A 12,487-nucleotide genomic window follows, 5' to 3' on the forward strand; every position below is an offset into this window, starting at 1 on the left:
AGTATACAGTGATGCCCTAGGCCTTCCCATTCACTCGTCACTTACTCAGTGACTCACCTAGAGCAAATTTCAGGCCTGTAAGCTCCACGCATGGTAAGTGCCCTATATAGGTGAACTACTTTTTACCTTTTATACCATATTTTTACTGTACTTTATGTGTAGATATGTTTAGATACAAAAAATACTTACCATTGTGTTGTAATAGCCTACAGTAATCAGTACAGTAACATGCTATACAGATTTGTACCCTAGGAGCAATAGGCTACACCATATAGCCTAGGTGTGTAGTAGGCTGTACCGTCTAGGTCTGAGTAAGTACACTCTATGCTGTTGGTTCGCATGACAAAACCACCTGATTACACATTAGGAGGTGTCCTCATTGTTAAGCAACTCATCACTGTATATCATTAATGCTGCCTTGCAAAATATGACTTCAACCAATACAGCCATCCAGATAACTTAGCAGGTTAGATTAATTTCAAAATGTGTCATTAAGCAACTAAATAAATTCCTTTAATATGGAGAATTAATACCTATCAATCAATATATATTAGAATTAATAGTTTAGTTTTAGAAAAACTGAAATTAAGCCAGCACTCTTGGATTTTGAAAATAAAATCATCTAATTGATGAACAGGAGAAATTGTACCTCATATAAAATGACATAGTATTTGCAGATAACTTATACAAATCATCTCTTATACTTTAAATCATCTCTAGATTACTTATAATACCAAATACAATGTAAATGCTATGTAAATAGTTGTTATACTATATTTCTAAAATTTTTATTATTTTTATTATGTCTTTTTTCGTCCCCAAATATTTTCCAATCTGATATTGATTGGATCTGCCAGTGTGGAATCGCAGATTGGGAGGGCCAACTGTATTCTTATTTAATAGAAAGCTTGCAAGAAGTTTGAATAGGTTGTAGAGGTGCCAGGTGCTGTGCTAGACCCTTTGTAAATGTTATGTAATTCTCACTTTCAGACTATGAGGTCATTTTTCTCATTTTATGGATAAAGAATGTCAGGCCACCCCGAGGTCACAGAGCCAGTGATGGAAATAAATTTGAGATACCATCTCACACCAGTTAGAATGGCGATCATTAAAAAGTCAGGAAACAACAGGTCCTGGAGAGGATGTGGAGAAATAGGAACACTTTTACACTGTTGTTGGGACTATAAACTAGTTCCAACCATTGTGGAAGTCAGTGTGGCGATTCCTCAGGGATCTAGAACTAGAAATACAATTTGACCCAGCCATCCCATTACTGGGTATATACCCAAAGGATTATAAATCATGCTGCTATAAAGACACATGCACACGTATGTTTATTAGAGCACTATTCACACTAGCAAAGACTTGGAACCAACCCAAATGTCCAACAGTGATAGACTGGATTAAGAAAATGTGGCACATATACATCATGGAATACTATGCAGCCATAAAAAATGATGAGTTCATGTCCTTTGTAGGGACGTGGATGAAGCTGGAAACCATCATTCTCAGCAAACTATTGCAAGGACAAAAAAACCAAACACCGCATGTTCTCACTCATAGGTGGGAATTGAACAATGAGAACACATGGACACAGGAAGGGGAACATCACACACCGGGGCCTGTTGTGGGGTGGGAGTAGAGGGGGAAGGGATAGCATTAGGAGATAATACCTAATGTTAAATGATGAGTTAATGGGTGCAGCACACCAACATGGCACATGTATACATATGTAACAAACCTGCACGTTGTGCACATGTACCCTAAAACTTAAAGTATAATAAAAAATAAATAAATAAATAAAGCTAAACTTAAAAAAAAAAAAGAATGGATAGAAAAGACCTTGCAAGGTATCTTATGGTCATGAAATCAAAAGACTTGAGTTTAAGACTTTATGGCCTTGGTCACTTAGTCTTCAGACATCAGTTTCACCTTGATTTATAAACAGAATGCTCAAGTCTGCACTTTCTACCTCAGAGGTTATCATTGAAATATTTTAATTCAGCTAAGCTGTGAGAGATGGTACTGCCTTCTGGGATACAATGCAAATAAAACCCAGCACTTGTCACGTAGTAATTCATGGTCCTTCAGGATGAAAGAGGCAGGTAAATAAACCATTGCAAGCAAATGATGGCTGTAGTGTACTCGTGAAACAGGTACCTCTGAAATGCAGAGTGATGAGGTAGGGATTCTCAGGGATGTTGCCTCGATGGATAAGGAGACATCTTTCTGATTACTAAGAATAGGGGTATCCCATGGGTACATACTTAGGTACCAGGGGCTGGGGTGCTATGGTGAATTAGGCAGGTGGGCCGCCATCCTGGGTTCTGATGCAGGAGGCAGGCATGCATCAAGTCATCACAAAATAAATGAAAACTGTAGCTCTTGCTACCTGGCAGAGGGACGCAGGGCATTCGTAGAACAGGGGAATTTGACCTAGTTCAGGCGGAAGCTGAGGAAGGCTTCCTGAGGAAGAAACAGTTGAGAGCTCTCTGCGTGGTGAATATGCAACCATGACCAAACGAACCTCTCAGCTCCTTCCCTGTCAAAGAGCACCCACTCCTAGAGGTCGTATGATATCATATGAGACAATCTGTGTAAAGCATTTGATACTGAGTAGATGGATAGTAAACACTCAATATTTGTTGGCTATTCTGATGTGAATTTTCATTCATTCAGCAATTATTTATTTATTTATTTATTTATTTATTTATTTTTGAGGTAGAGTCTTGCTCTGTTGCCCAGGCTAAAGTGCAGTGGTGCAATCTTGGCTCGCTGCAACCTCTGCCTCCCGGGCTCAAGTGATTCTCCTGCCTCAGCCTCCTGAGTAGCTGGGATTACAGGCTCCCGCCACTGTGCCCAGCTAATTTTTGTGTTTTTAGTAGAGACGGGGTTTCACAGTGTTGGCCAGGCGGGTCTCGAACTCCTGACCTTGTGATCCACCTGCATTGGCCTCCCGAAGTGCTGGGATTACAGGCGTGAGCCACCACGCCCGGCCCAGCAAATATTTATTAAATGACTTGTGTGCCATGTCCTCAAGCTAGTTGCTGGGAAACAGGGCCCCTGTTCCTTAGGAACTTATATTCCACTGGGTGAGATGGATATTAGAAAAAAAATTGTACACGCCAGTATGTGTTTACCAACTGTATAGCATGCTGTGATGGGAAAATGAGATGTACTGCAAGACTATTCTTTAAGTAGGGACTGGAAGCTTGGATACCTTAAGAGCAAGGGAAACTAAACAGGGGAAACAGCCTGATACTTAGAGGGAAATTAGGCCTATAACAAACTGGAAGAGGCTCTCAAGTTCAAAATGTTTTCATTCAAACAATGCTTTGGCGTAATCAAACACAAAAGTAACAGAGTCACTGACGCGTTTCATGTTTTTGCTTGATTAGATTTGCTCTTAGAAAGTTCCTTCTGAGAATAGCATGGGGAATTGAGACCAGAGTGAGGACAGAAAGGAGTCAGGGTCTGTGTGGTGTGGAGGGAGCTGCAATGATTTGGGCTGGAGAACTCAAAATACGAGGGATAATTAGAGGGATTCAAGAGACTGGAGGGGAAGCATGAGTATTTCACAATACATTTTGAAAGATAAAGCCCATGTCTATGGAAAGAATGTCATTCCACAGGATTCTACCTATCCCACTGTTCCTTGATTCAGCAGATACTTTTCTGGGTCTAGGCACTACTGGTTAACATAGTGGTGAGGGAGGCACTCCTGCAGCTTCTCTGTCCTTGGCTATTGTGAAACAAGATTTAGCAGAAGTTTAAGACTAGGATGGGAAAAAGAGTGGATTTTAAATGTTCTCATCACAAAGAAGTACGTGAAGTGCTTGGTATGTTAGCCTGATGTAATCGTCCCACAAGGTATATACATCTATCATCACATTGTAGCCCATAAATATATGTACTGCAAGACTTTATTCTTTTAGGTAGGGACTGGAATTATTACTTGTCAATTTAAAAATTCAGATAAAAAATAAGACAATTTCTTAGAGTAAATGATTGCCTTGCGGGACAGAATTAAAGAGAATTCTTTGTTGTAAAGAAATCAGCCCCCTAAAAAACAAAAACACAAATGTGCTAATTTTTGTGGTCCTTTCTTGGGCATAGATTATGAGTGACCCTATCTAGAAGGTATTTCTTACTTATGATAACCACGTTTAGATGGGCTTCAGGTCATAGTTGTAGTGTTCTGAATCTGTGTTAGAGGACACAGAGTGAGGCTGAGCAAATCTCTCTTGGACTTAAGACTTGTTCTTCTCCAATTAAGTCATAGTCGTCATACACAGATGGAATATGTTTTCATCCTTTTGGTATTATATACTTTTTTTTTATCTTAACAGGTGGTAACAAACAGGGATACACAAGAAACTCTACTCTGCATGGCCTGTGTGTTTGAAGTTTCAAATAGTGAACACGGAGCACAACATCATATTTACAGGCTTGTAAAGGACTGAACATGGTTATTTATATATATAGATATCTGTATATACACACACACATATGTGCACACACACACTCTCTCTCCATTATCGAACGACTGACTGTAAACCTCACCACACAGGGTGGTGCCCTGGCCCCGAGGTCACCCCGACTTTTCTAAATCTTGTTTGAGTGAAGTCATTTTTTCATGTGTTCATACTATCATTGTAGCTGTGAAGTTCTGGTACAGTTGTAAAAAGAGAAATTGAGTTGTTTCTCTATGTTCTTCAGATGTGCAGCCCACAATTCCTCGGGAAAGGTGAACCTGAACAACCCAAGTCTCTCTCTGCAGAGCCCTGTTTCTAATTGTGGTAGAAAATATTGAGACAGAGCATTTGCCATGGGACATTTACAGCCTTTATACAAATGTATTTAGTTCTCTTTTTTCCAACATAAAATTCTTGTTTTAAGATACAAGTAAAATTAATCTTTAAATATAAATGTAAATTAGTACACAAAACTAAGAATCTTTAGACTTATCTTTGTAACTAATTAGGGTGGAAGTTATGAAAGAATGTAATTCACTAAATTATTTTTTAAATGAAACCTTTTTTTTTCTTTTTGAAACCAAATGTTAAACTATAGCCTTAAGAAATGCTTGGTAGAAGTGTCCTAATGAGACAAATTTGTACTTTTATCCTCAAGGTTAACACTAATCTCCTAATCCATTAAACTCTTGAACAGGTATTACAAAGGAAGAAAACTTCACCCCTTATCCTTAACATATATAGTATATTTAAAAAATATAAAATTGTATTGTACTAATGTGATGATGGATTATTTAATGAAAAAGAAAAAATGGCTCTTTTTGCAATAAGTAGATACATACTGAAAAAATCTAAACTTACAATGTTTATAGTCTTGTGTGTGCAGTTATATTTTATATGGACGACCAAATTTTTTATTAAGATGAGTAAATATTTGAACCACTGAATTTTAATAACAAAATTTTAAAATTGGCATGAATACGGAATACTGCACTGTGAGATGCAAAGTATACAGAATCTGTGGCTGGGAGAAAATTTCATCAAATAGACAAGTAAAAGGCTCATCAGTTTTAGCATCTCTGCTCCCCAGAAAATTGTAAGCATCCTCACCAGCCTGTGGATACATTCTTTATTTCTAGTGACCCAATATGCATATTAACCTGCTATAACTAGGGCTATATGTGTAGGTATGTGTATACATATACACAAATGCACATATAGAGTTAACACATTTAGTGAACACTTGTTTAGTGTCACTCAGTTTGCTAGGTGCTGATATGTACGTATATCTCAATGTGTCTGTAGACTTAGATACATCCTCTTGAAGCACATCCATTTCTTTAGCGTCTCTCAGTAAGTTACAGTACTTGTTTGACTTAGGTTTAAGAGGCCCAGCTACCTATCTCTGACCTTTTCAAATAGGCTCATTTGGGAGATTCTTTTGCCAGGAGAGATTCAACTTTCCAATCTAAGTATTCCAGAGCATTGCCCAGGCAGAGTTGGTTTGATGTGGCCAGATGTTTTGAGTTATTTCCCTTAAGTGTTTCACTGGGGAGAGAACAGGGAGTGCTCCTCCAGCTTCCCAAAGAAATATGTTTTTGTAAGTGGTAGGAACATGTGCACACAATAGAACATGAAATAAGTTTTTTAACTTGTAAAACATGTCAAGATTTTTCCACCAAGCTAGAAAATAAAAAACTTAGTTCTACCACATCCAATTAACTTACACACCCCCTTCCCTGTCTCAACACCTGCTTTGACCCTGCTTTTCTATTATTACATCAGTCAGCATCTTGTGGTCCCTAACATGAGGATGTGGCTGGCTCGTGGGAAACAGCAAAACACTAAGCCTGACCTCTCCCAAATTGGGAAGACCAGAGGAGAAAGTGCAAAACTGTCCCCATTTGGAATGCCCATTCCTTCTAGAAACCAGTTGGACAGTGCTCCTCTGCCCTTCATAAACAGACTACTGTTGGGTCCCTGATTCCAGGCTGGCCTGTGAAGGATTGCCCCAGGTGTCCCCTTTCACGGTTGTCACATTTACAGTGACTTCTGTTGAACACCCCTCTTAGGGATGTTTCTTTTGCTCTTATTTCCTGCATCTTTCCTTAAGGGAAGCCCCATCCTCTCCCAGGACCAGGAGTTTATGACCAGGCGAGCACAAATGGCTAAAAGCCAAGCTGTCCTAGAACTTCAGTGGGAGAGCTGTCTGGTTCATATTCTACCCAGGAATGGTACTTTTCAGTGCAGCCAGGAGGGCTCTTGGGATTTCCTTTCCAAAGCACAAAAATACTGGGACCCAAGAAGAACAGCTAGAGGACAACTCTGTTGGCACAGAGACGGGGACAGCCCAGTCTGCTGACCTCACAGGGTCAGCTGGGCCCCCCTGGTGCTTCACCACCTGCATCCTCTTGCTCAGAATGCCTTTGCAGTTGAGTTTTCTGGGTTTCTATGATTGACCTTGAGGTTTACTCCTTGCTCTTACAACATTTCTAAGGATTTTTAAAAGTTTACTTCTTGTCTTGTTCTTCTAAAGCTTTCTCCAGGACAGATATTTTCCCTGTCTTAACCACTGGTCCAGTCATCCCAGTGGGCTTCTCTTTGTCTCTCCCAGATTAGACCTTTGGGTGAGATTGGCATCACAACATCTAATCTGAGTCTGTCTTTTGTCCTTCATTCTGTATGGCAGTCTCCCTTTGTTATAAAAGCTTTCTAAAGCATACTAAAGAAGCCTTCCCAGAGCCCCGTCTTGCTTCTCTTCCAGGTGCTCTATCCCCTCGAGACCCTCTGGTGCCAGGCTTGCTTCACGGCCATCTTGTGTTGTCACTGCAGAGTTTGGAGGCCAGTTTTCCACAGCCTAAACAGGGAGGAGCTGCAGAATGGGGCTCTGGTCTCTGGGCATTCATTTCCCTCATAGAGGCTGAGAATAAAACAAGGACTTATTCACACATGTTCTAGAACCCCAGAATGGCCCAAGTTACCTGAGACCAGGGTTTCTCAACCTTGACACCATTGACATTTTGGACTGGGTAATTCTTTGTTCTGCAGAGCTGTCCTTTGCACTGTAGGAGATTTACTAATATCCCTGGCCTCTACCCAGTAGTACCACTAGCACCTATTCCCCACCCAGCGTGTCTCCAGATATTGTCAAATATCCCATCGGGTGCAAAATGATCCCTGGTCAAGATCTGTTGCCCAAGATGTTACAGGTCACAATGACCACATTTGAAATTGTTTTCCCTTTCATTTTACCCTGTGAAAGCATCTCTCCTAGAGCCTTGCAAGAGGCAGGTGACATTGTGTCCATATTTCTTCCTGTTTCAGAACTTCTGTTTCACAACAATTTCTCTCTCGCTACAAGTATTCTTTCACTCAGCACTGGGGAAGTTGGGAACAGCTGGTCACCATCATCCCTTTAATCAACTCACACCTGTTTAAAGAGTGTTTCTGATTTGACCTTCATCCCTTAGTTTACTGGCGTTAAAAAAAGTCTCAGCAATTTTCATTATTTCTCGTGGGTCTCATTATCAAACCTTTACTTATTTCGGCATATTTCCTCTGGGCTTCTTCTAGTTTCTGCCTTACAAGCAATGCTGTTCTGTAAATTTATTGAAACCTCTGGAACATTTCACCTTTAGAGATGGAGGATGGAAGGATTGGTACCAGAAGAGGGCTAAGATACGTTTTCTGTCTTGAGCTGAAAGCACAGTCTACTCTCCTTCGTTTTGTCGATGAGAAAGTTGAGGCCAGAGGGGAGGTGACATGTTTAGAGTCACCCAGCTGGTTAGTGACAGAAAAAGCGTGAGAGTTGTCTAGGATTCCTGCCACTTTGGTCCCTGGCCTCTCCTGGGGGAGGCTGCTGTTCTTAGGTGCTCTAAGCTTAATCCCTCAGAATGTGTGGACAGGTCAGCTTAGAAGAGATGGGGAGATTCAGGATCCCCCTGTGCCAGAGCACAGCCTCACCGGATGCTGCTTCCCACACTGAAGTGTCCTGTCCGACCATTGCTATCTGAGGCATCCACAAGCAGGTAGGAAAGCTGGCGAGCCATTTTACTTCCTGAGGACAATTCCCCAGCCACAGGCTCTGAGTCAAATTTCTATTTGGTAAGCATCCTAGCAGCAAAGTCCTGCACTCAGACCAGCCAAAAAACAGCCCCCATTCCAAGTACTTGGTGTCAAAAGTCCCCGAACGACTTTTAAACCCAAGTCTTCTTAAGGTTTCAGTACTGTGGTGGCTTTAGCAGTTGTTTTTGTGCAACTATAAATTATTTAAATCATCTGAGATGACAGTCAATTTTACAAACCAGGTACATATTAATTTGTATAATTTTGTATATGCTCTGGTACACTACCTGAACTAACGAAGGGTAGAACTAATTCTGTTTGTCAGTGTTCACACCTGTAACATTAGGAGGATATGTCTGCATTGCTTATTTCTTTATGTTGGTGTTTCTGTGGCAAAGCCCTGCACATGGCATTTCTGAAAAGCCTTAAATCTTTAAGATGTTGCATGTAGGGTATGCAGTGCAAAAGGCTGCCTCAGAACTGTGAGCCCTTTTGTAAGCTGGAAGCATTTCTCTTACTACTGTTACTTTTGTAGGAAGTTTTCAATTCAGAGCTGCCAAAGTGTTCCCGTAAGCAGTGCCTTAGTAATACCTTAGTCATGCCGCCAGCCTTTTCTTACACCAATTCCTAATGTTCATTTACGAATTGGCCCAATATTGGAAACAAAACAAGCAAAAATTGTCTTCATTTTTGTTTTGTAAGCCCATTTTTTCTCCAGTTCTATAGGAAACTGACTGCTTGGTGTAAAATCCGAAACTGGACACAAGTCAGTTCTTTCACCACACTCAAATGTATATACCAAAACAAAAGGTTGCAACTTCATAGTTTACTATGAAAAGCAAATTGTACTTTTTAATGTTGCCTTTTAAATTCATGACCAAATACTTAGCTATTTGTGAATCTTCTGCACTCTAGCATGAAAGTGCCTTTGGTTTGAGATTCCAGCTTAGAAAAGTGCTGCCATAATAACGATAATTTGTAGAGAGACCAAAAATATTTTGAGATCACCGTAATGCCTTTGGTTTACCGGGATGAGTAACCAACCACAGGCCTCTGTTCACAAGAGCACGACGTGGTCCCCGCCTGCTGCTAGTCTGTCTGCCACTGGGGGCCTCCCAACATCCATAGCACACTTCAGCGGAAGGACCCCAGAAACTGTTGTGTTTGTGTGTGCTGATGACCTAGTGTGTCATTTCACCTCGTCACCCAGCCCTGCGTCCGGATGAGGGGACTTCTGCACAAATGACAGAATCTCGGCTGGTGGACAGATACTACAGCTTTCTCCTCCTCCTTGTGTTCGTGTTCAGTCTCTGTGGAGACTTTCTTTTCCATTCAAATGACAGTGCGCACTTATCTGGTTTACACAATGATACCATTTTGAAAGTTGGAAGCCTCAAACTGAGACGACAGTGCAGAACAAAACAAAAGTGAGTTAGGGTCGTTAAAATTGAAGTGTTCTTCTTAGGGCAAACATGTTGACTCCGAGTATTGTGTATGAATGTGCTACGAGAAACTTCCAAAGAGCACCATTCACAATTTGGCATTTTCAAAGAATGTTCCAGCCCTCAAAGGGGCAACTCTTTAAAGTCCTTGTTGGCTTTTATCCAAACCTTGTAGAAATTGGGAAAGCTGATAGAGGTAAGGAAGACGAGTGAAAAGGACAAGAAGGCCAAACACCAGCCAAAAAGAAACTAGGAAAAAAAGATTTTCTTTGCTAATATAGATGTAAAAATAACATCAGACATCTTTGAAAATTAGCCTCTAAACTCTTAATACATACGTTCTGTGTGTCTCTACCTGGCGTCTTTAAGAATATCCTCTCTGGGCTCTGAAATTTTAGGAGTGATTCTTATCCACTCCAAGTTGTAAGTATTTGTAGAAATTTGTGCAAACAAACAAAAACTATCAAATGAAAAGAAAATGTACTCAACCTAACTTATAGTTAGCAGCTGGAATTCTCAACTCTTCCCTGCCAGCACTATACCACAGTGTGGAAGAAATTAGTCAAATGCTTGTTTTCCTGCTTCTCTTTTCAACTGTTACTGTGCTTTGTTTGAAAGTAGTTTTCTCTCTCAAAGCCGTTGCTTATATCGTTAAGAATGAAGGTTTGTGTTTAAAATTTATTGCATTGCAAAGGGTAGTTTCACTGAAGTCATGCACCATTAAATAAGATGAAATATTTGTATTTATTGTCCTACTTCCTAAGCCGTAACTTCTTTTCCTCTGTGAATTTGCATTGAGTCACTCATGCTACACTACATCGCTTTAGTATTTGAGATGGCATTTATGTTTCCTCTCGTTTATCATGAAATGGGGTCAGATTCCATCAGATTCCACCTCTGTCAGGTGGACTCTTGTCTGCCTTCCATGATGAGATTTTTTTTCTCCTTCCCCTTTCTTTAAGAGAGGCTGACAGATCTAGGTGTCAATCAATTGGAAACCAGTCTCTGATTTTTTTTCATTAGTTATTTTCTATCATTAGTTTCACTGTGTAAATTAGATATCAACTGCACTTCTTTAAAAAAAAATACATCTCCCTATTACCTCCTTGAAAGATTTACTTCTGTAGGCCTTTTTCAATAGGCTCATGACTGCAGACAAGGAAAAAAAAAGTAAAAACAAAAACAGTATGTGCCTGAAAATGACAAAAAAAAAATTTGTAACATTTAAAAAAGAAACCTGAATAGCCTTTAATTCTTTAATAATACACTTAAATTTTATGTAAATCGGTTTTCGCCACGTGTGTTTGTTCACATTCTAAATGACTTAATGGGATTCTCACGGTCTGTGTCTTTGTGTCACGTGTATAAAATGGGCTTGTGATGTAAGCGTTTCATCTGGTCAGTGGTTCCTTTGATATTGTACTGCTGCTGGGAGTGGGCTGTGGAACCTGCCTTCGGGTAACTGGGTTCCTCTTGGGTAGATTGGAGAGATGGGGGTGGGCGTGGGCAAATTCTCACACATGTTTTCTTAACCTATTTGCAGAAACTTTCAAAAGGCATTTGATTAAACCTCTTGGCAGTACAGTATTCTTGTATTTGTTAACGTCTGTGTTTAGGTACTGGTACCTTTTTGTTTTAAAATGTTCTAAGTGTTGGCTTTAAAGTGAATTTATCTTTAGTATGATAGTTATATGAAAATTATAGGATTTGTGTGCAGAGAATTTTTTTATAAAGTGCTTTGTAAAAAAAAAAAAATGTATTCTAGCTTTTGCGGTACATATGTGTGATAACTTTAATACCCATGACAGTTAAGTGCAATTATTTCATCACTCTAAAAATGCTATTTTTGTGTCAGTTCCTGCAGGTGTTTTCATGTCTTTGCAAAGTGACACATTTTGATGCCTTCTTGATAAAGTGGTAGACATTTTGTAGCTTTCTAGAAACTTTGTATTCATACGGTATCAATGAAAAATAAAGAAAATGAAAGTGTGGGTCACCTTTTTTATCTGCAGAAGTGTATGTTGTTAGGAATGAAATGTGCTTTATGTATTGTGAGTGATGATATGAAAGACAGAGTAAAGGAGGTCACAGCTTTCATCTTTTTGAAGGTGTCCACCAAGCTTGATAATTGGAACTTTAGGTGTTACATCTAACAGCGTTTCTTAAACAATACCCACAAGTCAATCAATCCACTTGCCTATCTCACTCTTTAGTGCATCATTAAAATTGACATAAGTTTTGCAGAATGGCTTGTCTGTCGATCCCAGACTTACCCTGAGAAGCCAGGTCCCATGGGCTTTAGCACACCAGCCCAACCATTGAGTGTTTTTTGTTGCTGTTATCCCAACTTGTTGGGCACATGCCAGGAATGAGGGATAGAGCAGAGGATGGGGTACAGAGATAAATGCAGCATGGCTGTTTCCTACACAGTACTTAAATTCTCAGGAGTGGGATTGCACATTGAGCTATAACTCCTCCCGACCCCTGTCCTCAGCATCACCATGG

The 12,487-nt window shown here is 40.0% G+C and overlaps 1 protein-coding gene across 1 annotated transcript in view; it reads left to right on the forward strand.

Moving 5' to 3' along the window:
* TEAD1 (TEA domain transcription factor 1) overlaps positions 1 to 11,978 on the forward strand; it is a 270,317-nt gene extending 258,339 nt beyond the window's left edge. Inside the window, 1 exon segment of the mRNA NM_021961.6 lies at positions 4,350 to 11,978. Coding sequence (NP_068780.2) covers positions 4,350 to 4,463 — 114 coding nt within the window. The 3' untranslated portion in view covers positions 4,464 to 11,978.

This window comes from Homo sapiens, chromosome 11 (assembly GCF_000001405.40).
Source record: "Homo sapiens chromosome 11, GRCh38.p14 Primary Assembly".
Classification (NCBI taxonomy): domain Eukaryota; kingdom Metazoa; phylum Chordata; class Mammalia; order Primates; family Hominidae; genus Homo; species Homo sapiens.